At 37.1% G+C, this 20,263-nt stretch overlaps 1 protein-coding gene across 4 annotated transcripts in view; it reads left to right on the top strand.

Annotated features, from left to right (window-relative positions):
• GRM5 (glutamate metabotropic receptor 5) overlaps positions 1 to 20,263 on the top strand; it is a 561,341-nt gene that overhangs the window by 454,908 nt on the left and 86,170 nt on the right. For all 4 annotated transcript variants that reach the window (NM_001384268.1, NM_001143831.3, NM_000842.5 and 1 more), the window contains exons 5-6: positions 6,111 to 6,357; positions 13,723 to 13,891. In NM_001384268.1, coding sequence (NP_001371197.1) covers positions 6,111 to 6,357; positions 13,723 to 13,891 — 416 coding nt within the window. The remainder of the gene's footprint in view (positions 1 to 6,110; positions 6,358 to 13,722; positions 13,892 to 20,263) is intronic.

Below are 20,263 nucleotides of genomic sequence, written 5' to 3'. Positions count from 1 at the left end.
ATCAAGTAGGCCTTATTCCTGGGATTCATGGTTGGTTTAACATACGCAAATCAATAAATGTGATTTACCACATCAACAGAAGTAACAAAAACCAAGTGATCATCTCAATAGATGCAGAAAAAGCCTTCCATAAAATTCAATATCCCTTCATGTTAAAAACTCTGAACAAGTTAGGCAACAAAGGAACATACATCAAAATAATAAGAGCCATCTATGACAAATCCACAGCCAACATCATACTGAACAGGCAAAAGCTGGAAGCATTCCTTCTGAGAATTGGAACAAGACAAGAATATCCACTATCTTCATTTGTATTCAATGTAGTGCTGGAAGTCCTAGCCAGAGCAATCAGGCAAGAGACAGAAATAAAGGGCACCCAAATAGGAAGAGAGGAAGTCAAGCTACTTCTTTTTGCAGACGATATGAATCTATACCAAGAAAACCCCATAGATTGCACCAGAAGGCTTCTAGAACTGATAAACAACTTCGGTAAAGTTTCAGGATACAAAATCAATGTACAAATATCAGTAGCATTTTTATAAACCAATAATGTCCAAGCTCAGAGCAAAATCAAGAACACAATCTCATTTACAATAGCCAAAAATAATAATAAGGAATAACTAGGAATACAGTTTACCAAGGAAGTGAAAAATCTCTGTAAGAATTACAGAACACTGCTGAAAGAAATCAGAGATGACACAAACAATTGGAAGAACATTCTATGCCCATGGTCAGGAAGAATCAATATTGTTAAAATGGCCATATCACTCAAAGTAATTTACAGATACATTGCTATTTCTACCAAACTACCAATTTCATTTTTCACAGAATTAGAAATGTGCATCCTAAAATTTATACAGAATCAAAAAGATCTCAAATCAAGCAAAAAGAACAAAGCCAGAGGCATCACACTACCCAACTTCAAACTATACTACCAGGCTACAGCAACCCAAACAGCATGGTACTGGTAGAAAAACAAACACATAGGCCAGTGAAACAGAATATAGAACCCAGAAACAAAGCCACACATTTACACTCAACTGATCTTCAACAAAGTCAGTAATAACAAACAGTGGGGAAAGGACTTCCTATCCAATAAATGGTGCTGGGATCACTGGCTAGCTGTATGCAGAAGATTGAAATTGGACTCCTACCATTCACTATATGCAAAAATTAACTCAAAATGGATTAAAGACTTAAATGTAAGAGCTAAAACTATAAAAACCCTAGAAGAAATCCTAAGAAATACCATTCTGAACATTAGCCTTAGCAAAGAATTTATGACTAAATTCCCCAAAGCAATTGCAACAAAAACAAAAATTGACGCATAGAACCTAATTAAGCAAAGGGCTTCTGCACAGCAAGGGAAACTATCAGCAGAGTAAACAGACAACCTACAGAATTGGGGAAAATATTTCTAAACTATGTATCCAACAAATGTCTAATATCCAGAATGTGTAAAGAACTTAACCAAATCAGCAGGCAAAAAACAACCCCATTTAAAATGGGCAAATAATATGAACAGACATGAATCCCACTACTGAGTGTATACCCAAGAGAAAAGCACTCATTCTACGAAAAAGACACATCCCTTTATATGTTCATCACAGTGCTGTTCACAATAGCAAATACATGTAATCAACCAAGATGCCCATCAGTGGTGGACTGGTTAAAGACATGGTACATATGCATGCATGGTACCATGCACCATGGTACATATACACCATGAAATACTAAACAGCCAAACAAAATCATGTCCTTTGCTGCAACATAGATCAAGCCCAAAACCATTATCCTGAGTGAACTAATGCAGGAATAGAAAACCAAAAACTACATGTTCTCATTTATAAGTGGGCGCTAAACATTGAATACACATGGACATAAATATGGAAATAACAGACACTGGAGATTGCTTGAAGAGGAAGGGTGGTAGGGAGCTATGGTTTGGAAGGCTACCTATCAGGAACTATGGTCACTATCTTGGTGACAGGATCATTTATACACCAATCCTCAGCAACACAATTTACCCATGTAACAAACCTGCACATATACCCCTGAGCCTAAATAAAAGTAAGAGGAAGAAAATGGTTAGGACTAGTATTAGTGTAGGATTAGGGAGAAAAAGTAAAATAGAAGGGTAGTCTAGAGAAGACAGTTTGTTAATTTAATTCATTCACCAAATATTTATTGGTGGCCAACTGTGTGCCAGAAATTGTTCTAGGCACTGAGTAGAAAACAAAAAAGAAAATATCCGGGCTCGGCACGGTGGCTCACGCCTGTAATCCCAGCACTTTGGGAGGCCAAGTGGGGGCCAATCACGAGGTCAGGAGATCGAGACCATCCTGGCTAACATGGTGAAACCCCGTCTCTACTAAAAATACAAAAAAATGTACCCGGGCATGGTGGCAGGTTCCTGTAGTCCCAGCTACTCGGGAGGCTGAGACAGGAGAACAGTGTGAACCCAGGAGATGGAGCTTGCAGTGAGCCAATATCGCGCCACTGCACTCCAGCCTGGACCACAGAGTGAGACTCTGTCTCAAAAAAAAAAAAAAAAAAAAAATCCCTGTTTTCATAGAGCTTATATTTTAGTGAGTGGTGTTTGAGACAGCCAATAAGCAAGATAATAAGATAAATTTATAAAATATGTTAGGTGTTGGTAAAGTGAAAATAATGTCACAAAAGAAGATAGGGAGTGTTGGTGGGGGGAGGTAGAGATGCAATTTAGACAGGATATCCAGAGAAGGTCTCACAGAGAGGATTATGCCTGAGTAAAGTCATAAATTGGGAAGGAAACATGCCCTGCAACTTGTGAAGCAAGCTCACCATGCACTGGTTACCAACTTGTGTGACAGAACATACTCATATGCAAGTTATGGGAAATGGGTTTATTACTTACAGATAGGCAGCAAAAAACATCAGAAGCCTAGGACTCATTGTGAGCTGCTCCCCCAAGGCTCAGAAATCTGCCTAGGGTGGATGGAGTCTCAATTGCATGTAACCCACTTGCATAGCAGATAAGGGACCCTGGAAAGCAGCCTGCCCTGGGTGTTATATCCTGGGGTCACATGACTTACTGTGCTAAATCATTGAAGGACATGCTGTTCTGGTGAGACTGAAACAGAGCCTAGGCTCTTCTAGCCAGTCTCTATCTCAGTAAGTTACATTATCAGACCATCATACAGTTACTGTTGAGAACTACAAGCAAGAAAGGGAGAAAAACCTGGTCAGTCCAAGGCCATCTGGAGAATTGTCCTGCACAAATCTTGTGGGCAGAACATTCTAGGCAGAAGACACAGCAATTACAAGGGCTCAGAGGCAGGGGCATGCCTAGCATGTTTGAAGATGTGGGAGAAAGTCAGTGTGTCTAGGGCGGAATAATTTACGAGAAGAGTATTAAGAGATTGAGTCAAAGGAATAAGGGGTGAAATACCATGAGGCACGCTCCTGTATGTCTTTGAAGGCCATTGCAAGGACTTTGGCTTTTACTTTTAGTAATGAGAAAAAAGTCACTGGGAAGTTTGATCAGAGGATTGTCATGATCTGACTTCTAGTTAAGGCTATTGTGCTAAAAACAGGCTGGAGTGCAGGGAAGATGGGCAAAAGGAGAAAGCAGGCAACCAGTTAGAAGACTATTGCTGTAATCTAGACAGGAGAGGATATATACTGAGTCTGGTAGAAGTAGATTAGTGCTAAGTAGTCTAATTCCAGATAAATTTTGAAGATAAATCAAATAAGAGTTGTGAAGGTATGAAGGAAAAAGAGGAGTCAAAAGTGATTCAAAAGTGTTTGACTTGGCAACTAGAATAATGGAATTTCCAGCAGTGTGAGGTAAAATGTGGAAATATGAATCCAGTCTGTGTGGGGAAGGAAATTGTAAGATTTGCCTAGAGTGTAGCCTGGGACCACTGTCTAGTCCTGAGATGGAAGCAGGATTTCCCATCTTATATTATGTCACAATGCACTACGCCAGTTTCTCTAGGGAGACTCTCTACTGGGGAAATTAAAGGTGTCAGTATTTGGGCCAGCAATCAAGATGGAGATGATAAGCCTCTACAATTTGGGAAGCCATAAAACAACATACTACCTTTGGAGAGTTGTTGTTGTTTGTTGTTGTTGAAAAAAAAAAAAAAAAACACCTTTCTTAAAGAAAACATTTCTTCCAAAATGATAAGCTCTGGCTTTACCTCAGCTCTTTCTTTCACCTATTTTTTTTTTAACCACACTCTTCCTATATGTCTTAACCCTATTCATTCTATAATCACCAGGCCTGGAAATAGATTTCACTTCCTAGACACCTTTGCCATAATCATGGCCTCTACCACAGGCAGGAACATTTTCTTCTGTCATTGGGATCACTGCATTCCCTCTTAATGAGTTTCCCTGACAGTCCTACTCCTACAGCCCTTTAAACCTTTCTCCACAATGTAGCCAGATTGGTCTTTTCTAAAACAGAAATCTGATCATGTCCCTCCCTAGCCTCAACACTTCAATGGATCCCAAAGCTCTTATCATAAAATGCAGTAATCTTTTTTGGTTGTTTGTTTTGTTTGTTTTGAGGCTGACTGACTTTCCCTCTTGTTGCCCAGGCTGGAGTGCAATGGCGCCATCTTGGCTCACTGCAACCTCCCAGGTTAAAGGGATTCTCCTGCCTCAGCCTCCTGAGTAGCTGGGATTAGAGGCACCTGCCACCACACCCAGCTAATTTTGCGTTTTTAGTAGAGACAGGGTTTCACCTTGTTGGCCAGGCTGTTCTTAAACTCTTGACCTCAGGTGATCCACTCGCCTCAGCCTCCTAAAGTGTTGGGATTACAGGCGTGAGCCACCGCTCCTAGCCAAAAGGCAGCAATCTTAACATGGCTTAAGCATCTCTGCCTTCCTCTACCATTTCAGCTCTCTCTTTTCTCCTACCTCCTACTCTCTGTGCTGGTCATTGATTTCCTTAAAGTCTCCCAAACATAGCATGCTCTATCTTATCTGTTATTCTTCAAAAATGCTTGGACCACTCTTTCTCTCCCTTCATCTGATTGATACTTAGCTTAATGCTCAGCTTCAGAGAGCTTCCAGGTCTGATTCACTATTCAGTCCTGTCTCAGTACTTATCAAAACACATTATAATTGCCTGCTTAGATAGATGCTCATCTGCCCTTAGACTCTAAGTAAATGAGAGCAAGAATCACTTCTTTCTTGTTCAGCATGATGTCCCTCACTCGGAGCAAGTTCTGAGCAGTTAGAAATAACAGGCACTAAGTCCATACTTGTCAAATCAATCATCAATAACAAATTTTAGTTCCTTTAGTTCCTTAGTTCCCAAGAACCTTCTATTGGAAGGGATATTTCTCACTCCTTTGGGCCTCTATAGATTTTACCTCCACATGTTTTACAGATTTATTATATTCTACCTTTCACTGTATTTACATAATTTATCTCTGTTATTGGACAAGTTTCTTATGTACAAGCTCCATGTTCAAATCATCTTTTTTTCTCTAGATGATAAATTACACAGCTTTGTGTATATTCTGACTCTAATAAATGTTTACTGAATTAATTAATGAATTAAAGGAGTTTAAATGTTATATTTTATAACTTTCAAATAGGCCAGTTTATAGAGAGCATATGCTTTGAGATTAGACGTACTGGGTGATAAATCTAAATAGGTAAATTTATATCAGATGGTGGAATATCTAGTATCGCCAGGTAAGAGAACATAATAGTTTAGAAACTGGAGGTTTGTTGAGGATTTCTGAACCAAAAAGGTATATTATCACAGCTCATACTAATGAAATGAATCTGTCCTTAAGATACATTTTATGGTACAGAAATACAGTTCTATCCTGCATTCATACTTAGAGTTTGGTTTTGGAAGAAAGTGGATCTTGCTACTGTTGGTGATTCAGAACTTTTTTCAGAGTTTTGGAAGAAAAACCTGAATACAGAAGATAACTATCAGGCCCATTATGTTGGTACTGTTTCTCAGTGTTACCCATGGTTCTAACTCTGATAAAATTGCTCCAGTGCATTCTCTAATTACAGGTAACCCATTATTCAGTACCCAGGAATGTCGCGAGAGTAGATTTGTACCTCAAAGCTATGCTTAATTTGTTTCCCAACAGGTTCTCTGACTCTGAAAACACATCATGTTCAGGATTCCAAAATGGGATTTGTGATCAACGCCATCTATTCGATGGCCTATGGGCTCCACAACATGCAGATGTCCCTCTGCCCAGGCTATGCAGGACTCTGTGATGCCATGAAGCCAATTGATGGACGGAAACTTTTGGAGTCCCTGATGAAAACCAATTTTACTGGGGTTTCTGGAGATACGATCCTATTCGATGAGAATGGAGACTCTCCAGGAAGGTATTGTGTTACAATTCTCCTCTGCAGAGTAGAGACTGAATAACAGCCAACTCTTGATCCTGAAATGTCTCTTTCTCTCCTTTGTGGTTAATCTAGGTTTCCTGGTAATGTTTCCCCTTCCCTGACATCCCAAATGAGCAAAGATAGAGAGAAGAAGCCCCATTTCCTGTGGCCAGGAAAAAAGCATTTGTGCTGATGTCCAAAATGTGCTTTGCGAATCATCACATTTCAGAGACCTAAACTAAGAGGCAGGAAACTCACATGATCATAGATAAATAAAAACCATCTCTGTGGTTTCTCTGTACATGCTTGTCATGTTATTCCCCATATTCAGATATTTTCTTGCATAATAGAACTATTCTGAAATAGGAACAATTTGATTTCTGGTAATCCAGAAATAGGGCTGAGGTTCTGTTCTGTTGTTTGCTGTACGTACAGCAAGTGAATTATAAGTCACATTTTATTTTATTATTCTCCAGCTGGATCACTTTCTTCCTTGTTAAGGACTAAATTGTTTTTTTTCTCTGAAATTTTACCTTTTATTATTTGTAGAGGAACTTGAGGAACATAAACTCATAAGTATAGGTCAGTCCCCAGAGAAATCACTAAGTACCCAGAACTTACCATAATTCACATTTGTCTTCTACTCCAAATTCTTAAATGACTCTACATAGTCATTTAAGACTTATAGACACTTTTAATCTATAAGGAATAATGCCATTGAAATGATATTTTGAGTTGTAGCAGGGCTGAGTCTTCACTCAGCCTTGTATCAAAACAATAGGGTCCTTTGGTCTCTCAGTGCCCTTCTAGCAATAGCTCATACTTAACAACTGTGCTTGGAAAACTGTCTATACACTCTGTTTGTAGTTGACCCTGCCAAAAGGTTTCATGAATCCCCAACAATTCACACCACATGTGCCCACACATTCTGTCAGCAACCTTGGTTTATCACACTTCTACATTCTAAGATGAGCTGGAGCTTATCCCAAATGCAGCTGTTACTATTTCACATGCCAGACTTATAAGTGATAGCTAGTTTCAGGTCATACAGCCAAGTGAAAACCCAGGTTTTTTTTCTTCTATTCCAGAGACTTGAAGAATATTGCTATAACTAGGCTGTTTGCCAAAATAAGCTGAATTTTCACATGTTGTTTTCTACTTTTTGGCTCTTACGTATATCCATGAAGGAAAAAAATACAAGCATTTTCTCAGGGCCAAACAAAACTTCACAGTTGTAAATCTTTTAAGGGCAGGCTGACCAATGAGCTCAGTCTTTAGGCTCAGGTCAAGGCCTGGGCTCAGATACCTGCACAGGAATTTATTATTCCCATGTGCATCTCTAGAGTTCTGACATCAGCTTAGGACTTGCTGATAGAATCTGATGACTGTAGCTCCACCAATTCAAGAGTTTTTATATCAGGTACCCAAACCATTCCGCAAACCAGGGAGGGAGGAGATGCCTCAGAAGGTCCAGCTCTATTCCAATGGGAAACCTTGATGGATCTGGCAGAACATCGCTACCTTATTCATAATCATCCAAATATGTTGTAAGGGTTTCTTAATCTTTTTTTGGAACAATCATCCCTTCAAGACTCAGACAAAATGTATAGCTATTCTTTCAAGAACAACATACTTAAAATCTTGCAAACAACTTCTGGGAATTCAGGATTGCTTTGAGTCTATCCTTGCACTACTAGGTTTGAGTATAACATTAACCCATGAATAAATTATCAGAGTTGGCCTCTAAGGGCATGAAGCAGACTCAGGAAAAGGTGATTTACCACCTTTTGTTTCTCCAAATAATCCAGTTACTTTTACAAAAAAAATTATAACTAGCATATATTGAGTGTGTGTTCTGAGCCAAAGACTAAGCCAAGTGTTCTACTTTTTAATCCTATGAGGTAAGTAATGTTACCATTCTTTTTTCCAGCTAAAGAAAACCAAAGCTTACAAAAGTTCAATGACTTGCCCAAAAACACAGTCTAGTAAATGATAGAGTCAAAATTTTAACTCTGTCTCCTGGGCTTCAACTTCTAACATTATACAACAGCCTGACAATTAATCAACCAGGATCAAAATTTTAAAGACACTATATTCTGAGAAAACTTATTTGTAGACATTAGGTTGTTATTTTTGTGGAGCAAAAGCATTCTGCCAGATCAAAGGCATTCCCAGCTGAGTGAGAAAGCAAAGGATCCTGGGGTGATTAAGGAATCCTCTACAATTCCAGAGTTAAAAGTGGAGGATCCTAAACAGAGGAAGCTGAGAGAGATGGCAACTCACTCTGGCACACACTTGCAGACTGTTAGCACGTTTTAATCATTGTTTTTAAATCTCTCATCTGATTAGTCTACTATCAGTACCCAATGCTCTAATGAAAACCATGGTGCCAGGTGTTACAGAACCCAGAATTTTTGAATTTACAAAAGCCTAAACAATCATATAATGCCCCTAACATAATATGTAATAGCACTCCCTAATAAACACATTAATATTTCTGCAGCAAAACATACGAATATTCACATTGTGATAAACAAGACTATAAATAGCCTCATTTAGTTCCAGTCACATTTCATCCCTAGATAAAGTTCAGGTAATGTCATGTTTTGCTGCCAAGTGAGTTACAAAAAAAAGAAAAAAAAATTTCAGAGCTCTAAAGATTTCACAATTACCGATAAGAAATATGGACCTTTACTATTTTACCATTAACAGACTAGATCACCAGTCATCAGTCATCAAACTATGATCTGCAGACCACATGGAGTCTGCTGCTTGTTTTTATAAGAAAGGTTTTTTGGAACCCAGTCACATTGATTTATTTAGGTGCTATAGCTGCTTGTACACCACAATGGCAGAGGTGAATAGAAACCATCTCAAAGCCTAAAATATTTACCATACATCCCCTCACAGCAAAAGTTTGCTAATCTCGGGTTTAGGGACTCCATTGAGAATTAAAGTTTAAGATGCGTGGCTGCCACCCGGAATTGACCATAATAGGCAGAGGAAACGTGGACACCCAATGTTAGACTGAGTACAACTAACTAATTAAAGCAAAAAACTAAAACATTATATTGTGGGGTTTGTAAGTACATGGGTGCGAAGTATTTGAAAACAACGGCAAAAATGAAAAAGAATTTGAAATTGCACAAAGCCAAATTTCTTATATTTTACATTAAGTGACTCAATATTAAGTAGAATAAAAATGCATATTGTAATCTCTTGAGCAACCACAAAAATTTTAATACAAAGAGGAGCATTTAAAAGCCAATAGAGAGATAAGAAAGAACAAAAGAGAGAGAAAGAGAATGAGAGAAAGAGAGAAAGAAAGAAAAGAAAAGGCCCAAAATAGGGCAGGAAAGAAAGAACAGAGGAGCACAAACAGATGCGGTAAATAGAAAATACGAGGCTAGAATAGTAGAAATGGCAGATAACGACTTTGTGTGCATGCGGATTCTTGATATATGTCTCTGCTCATAGAAACAGATGTTCTGCTTCAATGTCCAGATTGTCCTGGTAAAAAATCTGTGTCATAGAAAGAAAGAGACATGTCCAAGGTTGCATAGTCAATTAAATAACAGGGCAAGGACATACGCAAATCTCAGGCACAATCATCAAGTAAAAATTTACCTTCTTTTTTTTTCTTATATTACATTTGAAATGGTTCAATGTATTAACATATAGTATAAAAGTGTTGCATTATTAGGTGCCATTCACATTTTTGGTCTAACTAACTCTGTGATCTCTCATTACTCTGTGATTGTCCAACCCCAAAGGCACAGATCATTGTAATTGCTTTGTTGTATGGACCAGGGCTTATTATGCCAACCCACAGATAATTTAGCACACATTTAAGAATTTTTAACAAAAGCACCTTAGCATCGGAATTATAGATTGAAAGAGCCTTAGGACCCACATAAAAGTAATACTCTTCAGTCTTCTCCAAATGATTTTTCACTTTCTCTAACAACAACCCTGTTTCAGCCCCTTGAATAAATCCCTCATTATCATCTGAAGACAATCTTCTCTAATTTTCAGAGTTCTAGCCATTTAGAAAGTTCCTTATTTCTGTACAATTGAAACCTGACTTTCTCTAGTTTACCTTAAATGCTTTAATAGAACTTTTTGTTGTTGTTATTGTAACATATTTTGTTTATTTTGATTTTGAGCAATATATAAAATTTATTTTTAAAATTATTTAGAATATTCTAGGTTTAAATTTTGGCTGGTTAAGGAAGAGCAGACATGAGGAGTTAGAGAGTAAGGGGAAGGAAGGGACAGGTATTAAAGAAGATAAATTACATATACAAACACACTGTGCTGAGAAAAACATTTCAGAAGCAGAGAAATATAGAAACCAAGAGGTGCAATGAAAAAGAAAGGCCAGGGGAGGGTGAGGGAAGGGGAGGGAGAGGGGGAAGGGGTGGGGGAGAGGGAGAAGGAGCAGGAGGAAGAAGGAGGAAGAGGAGGAGGAGGAAGGAGGAGGAGGATTGAGGAAGAAGAGAAGGAGGAGGAGATAAATGGGAGGAAGGAGATGGGAAGGAGAAAAAAGAAACTGGGCTGGAGATTTATATTAAAGTGTCTTGTGATTGGAATGACACACTAATCTTTGCTTCTGACACTGAATATGTGCAAGTTGGATCTTTACTAAAGCCATCAAAAACAAAGAGCACACTGAATTACTGTTTTCTTGTTTTGTTTTGTTTTGAGACAGTCTCACTCTGTCACCCAGGCTGGAGTGCAGTGGCGCGATCTAGGCTCACTGCAAGCTCCGTCTCCCGGGTTCACGCCATTCTCCTGCCTCAGCCTCCCAAGTAGCTGGGACTACAGGCGCCTGCCACCACGCCCGGCTAATTTTTTTTATTTTTAGTAGAGACGGGGTTTCACCATGTTAGCCAGGATGGTCTCGATCTCCTGACCTCATGATCTGCCCGCCTCAGCCTCCCAAAGTGCTGGGATTACAGGTGTGAGCCACCGTGCCTGACCTTCTGTTATTTTATTGGAAAACAAAATACAGTCTTCTAGATTGAATCATGGCTAAAGATTGCAAGAAGCCATTATGTCTTTTGATTCTTAACTAAAAGTTACGTAAGAGTATGTTTTAAACACTCACTTTATTTTCCTTTTGTTGGAGAATAAAAGCTATATTCTATCTCTGAAAATTAAAAGGGCTCATACCAATTCACAAGTCAACGGGAGAATATTCTTTTGTGGAGACATATTATCTATTTCTCTTTTTTAGTGTACTAAAACAAGATTTTTAAAGCAATGTTCTATTTTCACAGCTTAAGCTGTGAGTGATAATATCTTTGTGTTTGCCTTGTATTAAGAAACAATGACTAGAAATCTAAAGCCTAATTCCAAAGAGAGGATTCATTGTCTCTAATGTAATTATAACAAGTTTATTGAGTTCAACTGAAATTAAGGTTTAACTTTCCTTAAAACAAGTTCCCTGTCAAATGTGATTTTCCAATCTATAGAGTTTTCATGTTTATTTTTCAAAAACTGGATCTCTTTACTTTTTACTATTTGTCATACATAAAACAAAGAGGCATGGATATAGAGATAAAAGCCTTACAATATAAATTGGTTCAAATTTTTACAATATTTAAGCAAGGAAAATATGATCTCTTAGCTCTACCCAGGATTTGGAGCAGTACCCAGGATTTGGAGCAGTCTAATAAGGAAGAAGGAACTGCAGACTTGAAATCTAAAGGCTTGGTTTAGGTCCTAGCTCTGATGCTTACATACTCTGTAATCTGTACTAATTAACCTCACTGAGCTTCAGTCCATTATCTGTAAAATTAACAGTGTGAACTAAACTTTTCAGACTTAAGAATTGCTAGAAACAGAGTTGACAGCTCATTTTTGAGTAAGGAATGACACCCACATATTTCTTCAAATTATCAGCAGCAAAGAAACAAGTCTGACACTGACATTTCTCTTTCTCCCATCCTAGAATCTTCAAAGGTTATTTGCTCATAGAAAGTCACCCTTTGAATACTTAAAGCTCATATATTTGAAGTAGCCAATGACATAATACGTGAGTTCTTTTTACCTCAGTGCTCTGTGCTCTAATATCTCAACTCATTGCATGCACAGAGGCCAAAGGATAATTGTGACCGAGAGGGAAGGAAAGTATCCTATAAATTGGTATTTTTGATTTAGAAGTAGAATTTAGACAGTTACACCAAATTGTTACTGACTGCAGGAAAATTATCAAGTTACTGAACAACCAACAAAACAAGAATGAGGTAATATTCTGAAGAAAAAAAAAAACTACAGTAAAAAATGTGACTGGGAGTGAAAACAGAATGGCATCATTTTATAACATAAGTTTCAATAGATTGATGCCAGTTTTGTTCTCAGTATTTCTGTACAGAACATTGGTTTGTGTATAGTAATCTCATCACTTGAATCCAAAAGCGAGAACATTTTCCATTCATATCAGTTTCCAGATAGCTACACATGCTGAGCATTGGAAGTTGGAGGAGGCATTTATATGTCTATCTGTCAGTACTATAAGTCCTGAGGGGGTAAACAGTATAAAATATTATGTGAACACAGTGTGTACCTGAGACATACCTGTAGAAACTGAGATAATGGTGATATTGCTTATCCAATATCCTCAAATTGGAAAATTATTTCAGAGATTCTTCTCTAGAAATGAGCTTACTTATAAGAAAAGGCTTGTAAGTTAGCACATTGATTTTCTCTTTTTACATTTCTATCCACATACTCAAAAAACAATAGCTAGCAAAGGCTGAGAACTCACAAGGAACTACTCTCTTCCAGGATGTTTACATTGCATGAGGTGCTTTAGAAGCTATTTTCAAACTTTTTTAAACATCACTCTCAAAACTATCTTTGTACAATGAATTTAGCCATTGATAATGGGCAAAGTAAGAAAGGTAAAATGAGGCCCTCTGTAAATTATCCCTATATCCCCTAAAGCTGAAAATAAGATGAAAGATTTACCAAATTTCTCACTTGGTTAGTAAATGTAAGTTTTATCATTTTACTTGAATACAGACAAAAACCTTTCTATCTTTTGTAGAAGCCTAACAGTACTCGTTTAAACTTCTTGAAGTTATTTCGAAACTGTCTTTCATCCTGCTGGGGTCAAGTCACCTTCTCACATGGGATTACTTTCTATTTCAGGTGTAAGCTTGAAAGTACAAAAATGGTCTCTGCAGAGAAAGTAAAATAGACAGATTTTTTTTGTTATTCTAAGTGTACTGTCATGGAAAATTCCAGTGCTACTTATATGACAATAGACACATTTTTGGGAATAAAATATATTGCCTTTTCAAAGCTGAGTATTTACATCTTAAGCTGCATAATTATCATATTCTTATTCCTAAGGTATGAAATAATGAATTTCAAGGAAATGGGAAAAGATTACTTTGATTATATCAACGTTGGAAGTTGGGACAATGGAGAATTAAAAATGGATGATGATGAAGTATGGTCCAAGAAAAGCAACATCATCAGATCTGTGTGCAGTGAACCATGTGAGAAAGGCCAGATCAAGGTAAAATGGAATCTATGTTTCTTTCATTTTTGTTGTAAATTCAACAGTGTTAACTATCATTGGCTATTTTTAAAAATTTTAGACACTTATTTTACTTTTTATATTGTAAGCTTCTAATGTCAGAAATTCTCACTCATTCCTTGTGAAATCCCATGTGCAACTCACAATAGTCTTATTAGTTGGTTTGATTGAACCAGTTGATGAGTCATGTTTGCCCACACCGTTTCTGCTCATACAAGCCTTTAAAGACATGACTTCCTGGGAATAAAGTTTACAGTTAGAAAAGACACTAATTCTAATTTATTTAATAAATATTCATCAAATGTTTATTAATATAATAGTTAATATTGATTAGGCAAAAATAAATGAGACACGCTTTATTGTCAGAAGACTTACAGTCTATGTGAGAAAATATCATGGACACAGATAAGCAATATCATGTAAAATGTGATGATTTTGTTAAGAAAGAAAAGAAGAGGACTATATAAGTTTGTACAAAAGGGATAGAGATATTTCTACTGAATAAAATGTCAAACAATGGACCATAGAAAATGAATATGATTTCAGGGAGAGAACATTCATATAGAAAGAACAGTAAAAGAAAAGGGACAAAAGTGGTCAATTGAAGACTGTCCAGAAACAAGTGAATAATCTAGAGTGCAATGCTCTAAATGGTTATTATAAAAGAGAAAGTTGAAATAAGTTGAACCCAGATTTGTGGAGAGTTTTGAACATCATACTAAATACATTGAACTTAATTTTTATTAAACTGGAGTCAGAGAATAATTTTGACCAAGATGCTGGCATAAGTTGAGCTGTGGTAAGGAAGATGAATAAACAAATTTATGAAACAAGAAAGAAGAGACAAGTTAGAAGGATGCTGTGATAGTGGTAACAAGGCCTTGAATTAGGGAAGAAACAGAATGAAAAGGGGCCAGAAGACACATTTGGAGAAAACGTTTGTAGATTCAATCAGGCTGACAACCAATTTGATGCCGAGTTGTGGAAGATAAAGAAGTCAACACAATCAACTGAAATTCTAAGTGTTAGTAACTAAAAGGTTGCATTTCCAGGAATAGAAAAATGGGGATGGCTTTAGAGAAAAAGCGATTGGTTAGTTTGTGGGCATGTTGGTTTTAAAATAGCCATCCAGTGATTAAAGCTTAGTCTAGAGCAATGAAAAATAAAGCTAAGAATACAGATTTAGGAATTGATTGAATAGAGTTAAAGTTGAAGCTATTAAAATAAATAAAATTGCAGAACCTAAAAGTGTAAATAAAAAATAAATACGGACCAAGAATATACCTTGGAGAATTTCTGCTTTCAAAGTACAAAAAAGGAAGAAAAGGTAGAGGCTGAGCAGCAACAGGTACAGAGAGATAGACAACTAGAGAGCACACTGTCACATAAGATGGTAGTCAGTGGAAGAGAAAGGTCAAAGAAGAGGAACAATGAGGGAAAGGCATGAAAATTGAGGGTTCACCCTTCATCTGGGCCTGCCAGATTGAATAGAATGTAATGGCAATTGAGTATCAAGATGAATGGATAAGGAAAATGTAGTTTATCTACATAATAGAATACTATTAAACCATAACAAAGAATGAAATCCTGTCATTCACAGCAACGTAGACAGAACTGGAGAACAGAATGTGAAGTGAAATAAGCCAAGGACAGAAAATTAAACATCACGTGTTCTCACTTATATGTGCAAGATAAAAAATGTTGATCTCACAGAAGTAAAAATTAGAACAGAGCATACTAGAGGGTAGGAAGGGAAGGAGGAAGAGAGGGATAGGAAGAGCTTTGTTAAAGGAAGCAAAATCACAGCTAGATAGGAGGAATAAATTCTAGTGTTCTTTAGCACTGTAGGATGAATACAGTTAAAAGTAATCTATAGTTTCAAATAGCTAGAAGGAGGATACTGAACATTCCTAACATGAAGAAATAATAAATATTTGAGATGATGGCTATGCTAATTACCCTGATCTGATCGTTATATGTGTATCAAAACATCACTATGTAACCCATAAATATGTACAATTATTATGTGTCAATTGAAAAAAATAAAGAGTATAAGAAAAAGAAGTATGTGATAAAAAAGCATGTAATGGATAATTTGGTAATTTGAGGACATTAAAAAATTACTCTTAGGCTAAAGAAGATGTGGCCACACTTACAGGAAATGAAAATTCAATGAAGGAAGAGAAGACAAAGATATAATAAAAAGGGAGTTAGGGCAGCTATTGGTATGCAATGCCGTAAGGAAAAATGATATCAAAATAATTTATTTGCTAATCAAACAGTTCTTGAAGCACTACCACACCACATTTCAGGCAGTGTATTCCTAGAGCCATTGGACTTGGTGTTTTCAATCAACCTTACCTTCACTCTGTTTAGAAGGCATTTCATGTGTTTTTTCATCTGTGATTAAGACTGAAACTGAAATATTTTAATACTGATAGTAAGGCCCTCAAAGGGTAGGTCTGAAGATTTGGAAAGCATAAGACCAGAAAGAAGAAAGATAAGGTAAATGAAGATAAAAATAAATTAATTAATGTCTGCTAAATGGCTCAAAATATTAGATATCTGAAATTTTCTGTATGTCTTATTATGGTATACAGCAACAGCTGGTAAACTATGGCCCACAGACTAAATCTGACCTACTACCTGTCTTTGTAAATAAAGTTTTATTAAAATACAGCCACGCTCATTTGTTTATATAGTCTCCATGGCTACTTTCCTGCTACAGTGGCAGAGTTGGATAGCTGAGTTGCTGAGTTGCAATAGAGACTGTATGGCCCAAAGCCTAAATATTTACAATTTGGTCCTTTGTACAAAAAAAAGTTTGCTAACACTTGTTATATCAAGACAAAAGAGGTTTTCATCTTGGCCAATTATCTTGCAGTTAAACTCTTCATTGTGAGGGGTTTAAATTCATGTACAATTATTTACATGAATTATTACACCAAGAATATCCATATTCATAATTTCCAGTGCTTCCTGTAGAAAGATTACACAGTGTAAATTACCACATAATTTTTGTTTATTTTTGACCCTTCACAGCAATACATTTTGAAAACGTAACTTCTAGGGCCGGGCGGGGTGGCTCACGCCTGTAATCCCAGCACTTTGAGAGGCCTAGGCGGGCGGATCACAAGGTCAGGAGATCGAGACCATCTGGCTAACATGGTAAAACCCCGTCTCTACTAAAAATACAAAAAAATTAGCCAGGCAAGTTGGCAGGCGCCTGTAGTCCCAGCTACTTGGGAGGCTGAGGCTGGAGAATGGCGTGAACCCGGGAGGAGGAGCTTGCAGTGAGCCGAGATGGCGCCACTGCACTCCAGCCTGGGCGACAGAGTGAGACTACGTCAAAAAGAAAGAAAGAGAAAAAGAGAGAAAGAGAGAGAGAGAGAGAGAGAGAAGGAGGGAGGGAGCGAAGGAGGGAGGGAGGGAAGGAAGAAAGGGAAAATGTAACTTCCACATGCAGAATTTTTTGTTTTTTTTTTTGAGACGGAGTCTTGCTCTGTCTCCAGGCTGGAGTGCAGTGGCGCGATCTCGGCTCACTGCAACCTCCGCCTCCCGGGTTCAGGTGATTCTCCTGTCTCGGCCTCCAGAGTAGCTGGGATTACAGGCACCTGCCACCACACCTGGCTAATGTTTTTGTATTTTTAGTAGAGGCGGGGTTTCACCATGTTGGCCAGGATGGTCTCGATCTGCTGACCTCGTGATCCGCCCACCTCAGCCTTCCAAAGTGCTGGGATTACAGGCATGAGCCACTGCACCCAGCCTATTATCATATTTTTAATACTGGTCATTTTGTAATAATATTTGCTTAGTCCTTTTTTAAAAATCCCAAACTCCATTTTCCTAACCAGATGTCATTTTTACTCTATTAAATGTACAATTTAGAAGATTTTCTTAATATGGTTTAACAGCGATTTCATTCATGATATCAACATCTCATGGCATTTTCCAGAGTTTGTAAACTTAGTTTCCATGAAAGGATTTAGTCTAGTAAAGTTTCAGATATGTTATATATTGTTATTCATAAAGAAAGCACCGCTGGGTGGGTGCAGTGGCTCATGAGTATAATTTCAACATTTTGGGAGGCCGAGGTGGGAGAATCCCTTGAGCTCAGGAGTTCAAGATCAGCCTAGGCAATTTAGTGAGACCCCATCTCTTCAAAAAAAATAAGGAACAAAAATAATTGGGCATGGTGGCACACATCTGTAGTCCCAGTTATTCAGGAAGCTGAGGTGGGAGGCTCTCTTGGGCTGGGGAGGTCAAGGCTGCCGTGAGCCAAGATGGCGCCACTGCACTCCCAGCCTAAGCAACAATGCAAGACTCTGTCTCAAAAAATAAAATAAATAAAAAAGAAAGCACCACTACTTCCAGAATGTTAAATTGCCATGAAAGAGAATTGTCACTACCTCGTGTTCAAAATAGATGTGAAACAGAACATAAAATATGAAAACATAAAACAATTTCTAAATTATCAGAGGAAAACATATTAAGTTATCACTATTGATTCAAAAAGAGATTGTAATGTTGGAATTCTTCTTGGAAAAGGGCATGAATTTATTTTAATAAACACCTGAAATTCACAAACCAATGAAAACTGAACCATAAGAAATCAAGGTATTTCTAGTGGGGGGAAATGCAACTGCTTTTATTTGCTAATCCCTGCTAAGTTCTGAAAGACACTCCTTCAGCTTTGCAATATGCCTGTTTGCATTACAAAATCTAATAATTGTTCAAGGATAGTTTTGCCAAGTGTGGTATACCTTGAAAATGAAATTCTTCATTTCTGTATATGGACATTTATGTGCATATTATTAATGAAATAGGTAACATTATTAGAGTGTTCTACACTTTACAAATCACTGTGTTGTTTTATTTAATCCTAAGGAAATCCTATAAGGTAGATATTATTATCTTAAAAGCAACAGGTCCAGTTAAAAGAAACTGAGCATTAGCTGGAGGACTACTCAAGGCTGCACAACTACTTAGTGGCTATAAATAAGACTAGAACCCTGGTGCTACTTGATTCCCAAGCCAGTGCTCTTTCCCCTGCGTCTTTCAAAATATCACGCAGTCTATCTTCCAGTAAGACTCAATGTTTATAAGCATGAGCATTTGAAGTCCAACATACATTGTTTGATCCCTTATTTACCCTAACATGCTATGTGAGCTAACTTTACCTTAGTTTTCTCCCCTAAGAAAATGAAAAAAATAAACCAGCTACTTCATACAGAGCTGTTCTAATGTTTTAATGGGATAACAGTATGTGACAAGTACTAAAGAGCCTGGAAATAGTCGATATTATTATGAAGAATACTTTAATCAGGTCTAAGGAGCAATTTTGCCTCACTTATTTAGTTACTTTAGGGAAAAGCTATTTCAGGCCCTTTTGCCATTATTCCCTGCTTGTATTTTTGTAGTTTTAAGAGTCAACACAAGAAATACTACAAAAATGTAACAAACAGTTGTCAGCTTACAATTATATTTGGCTATAGGTATCTAGCTGATGTTATTATCAAAGGTCATTACTAGAGTTAGCATCTAAGACTAGAAATATAAAGTGTAATCATTACTGTCTCTGGTCATTGCTGAATATTAATCACAGTTTTAATTATTTAAAAGAACATTTAATGAATGCTGTCTATTCCGGAGAGGCTTTTCATGCACCAATGGTGGGGAAGAAAAGGTACATCTATTTCGAAAGAATAACATCTGTGACTCTTTCAACTGTTAAATTATTTCAATTATTTTCCATTACCTTAAAAAAGTCAGATAGATTAAGAGGTATATAATAGTCTCAGTGACCTCATCTACCTTCAAACAAAACAAGGCTACCAAAATAGGAAAGAATGGGTTGAATTGTTGAATCAGATTTTTCGTAGAAAGAGATCAAGAGATCATCTCCAGGAAAATCTTAATCTTTTGCTATGTTCTACCCAATACAAATTCCTAATTATTTTTATCAATATGGACAGATTTTAGAAGATTAGGAAATATACAATGTTTTTTGCTCACAATTATTCAACTAATGGAGGGAAGGAAGCTAAGGTAAATCCAGGGAGCAGAAGTTCTTAACTTAAGGAAAGGAGAAGCAGAGCAGATCCTGGGGTGAATTCAGTTATGTGTATCTACATATGAGCACAAGCACAGGTACTTAATTAAATACAGGTTTCCAAGGCTAATTATCCAAAGACTTTCATTTAATTTAATTCTTTATCCTGCCACAAGCTAACTTTATGACGCTGGACTTGTTTAAACTCAGCCTTATTTTCTTTAATTATAAATTAATATTAAAAATTGTACTGCTTATCTGAAAACATTTAAAATAATGTATGTGAAAGGCCTTTCTGC

The sequence above is a fragment of the Homo sapiens genome, chromosome 11, assembly GCF_000001405.40.
Source record: "Homo sapiens chromosome 11, GRCh38.p14 Primary Assembly".
Classification (NCBI taxonomy): Eukaryota; Metazoa; Chordata; class Mammalia; order Primates; family Hominidae; genus Homo; species Homo sapiens.
Note: the sequence above shows the minus strand (reverse complement) of the source record. Positions and strands in the feature narration are given on the sequence as shown.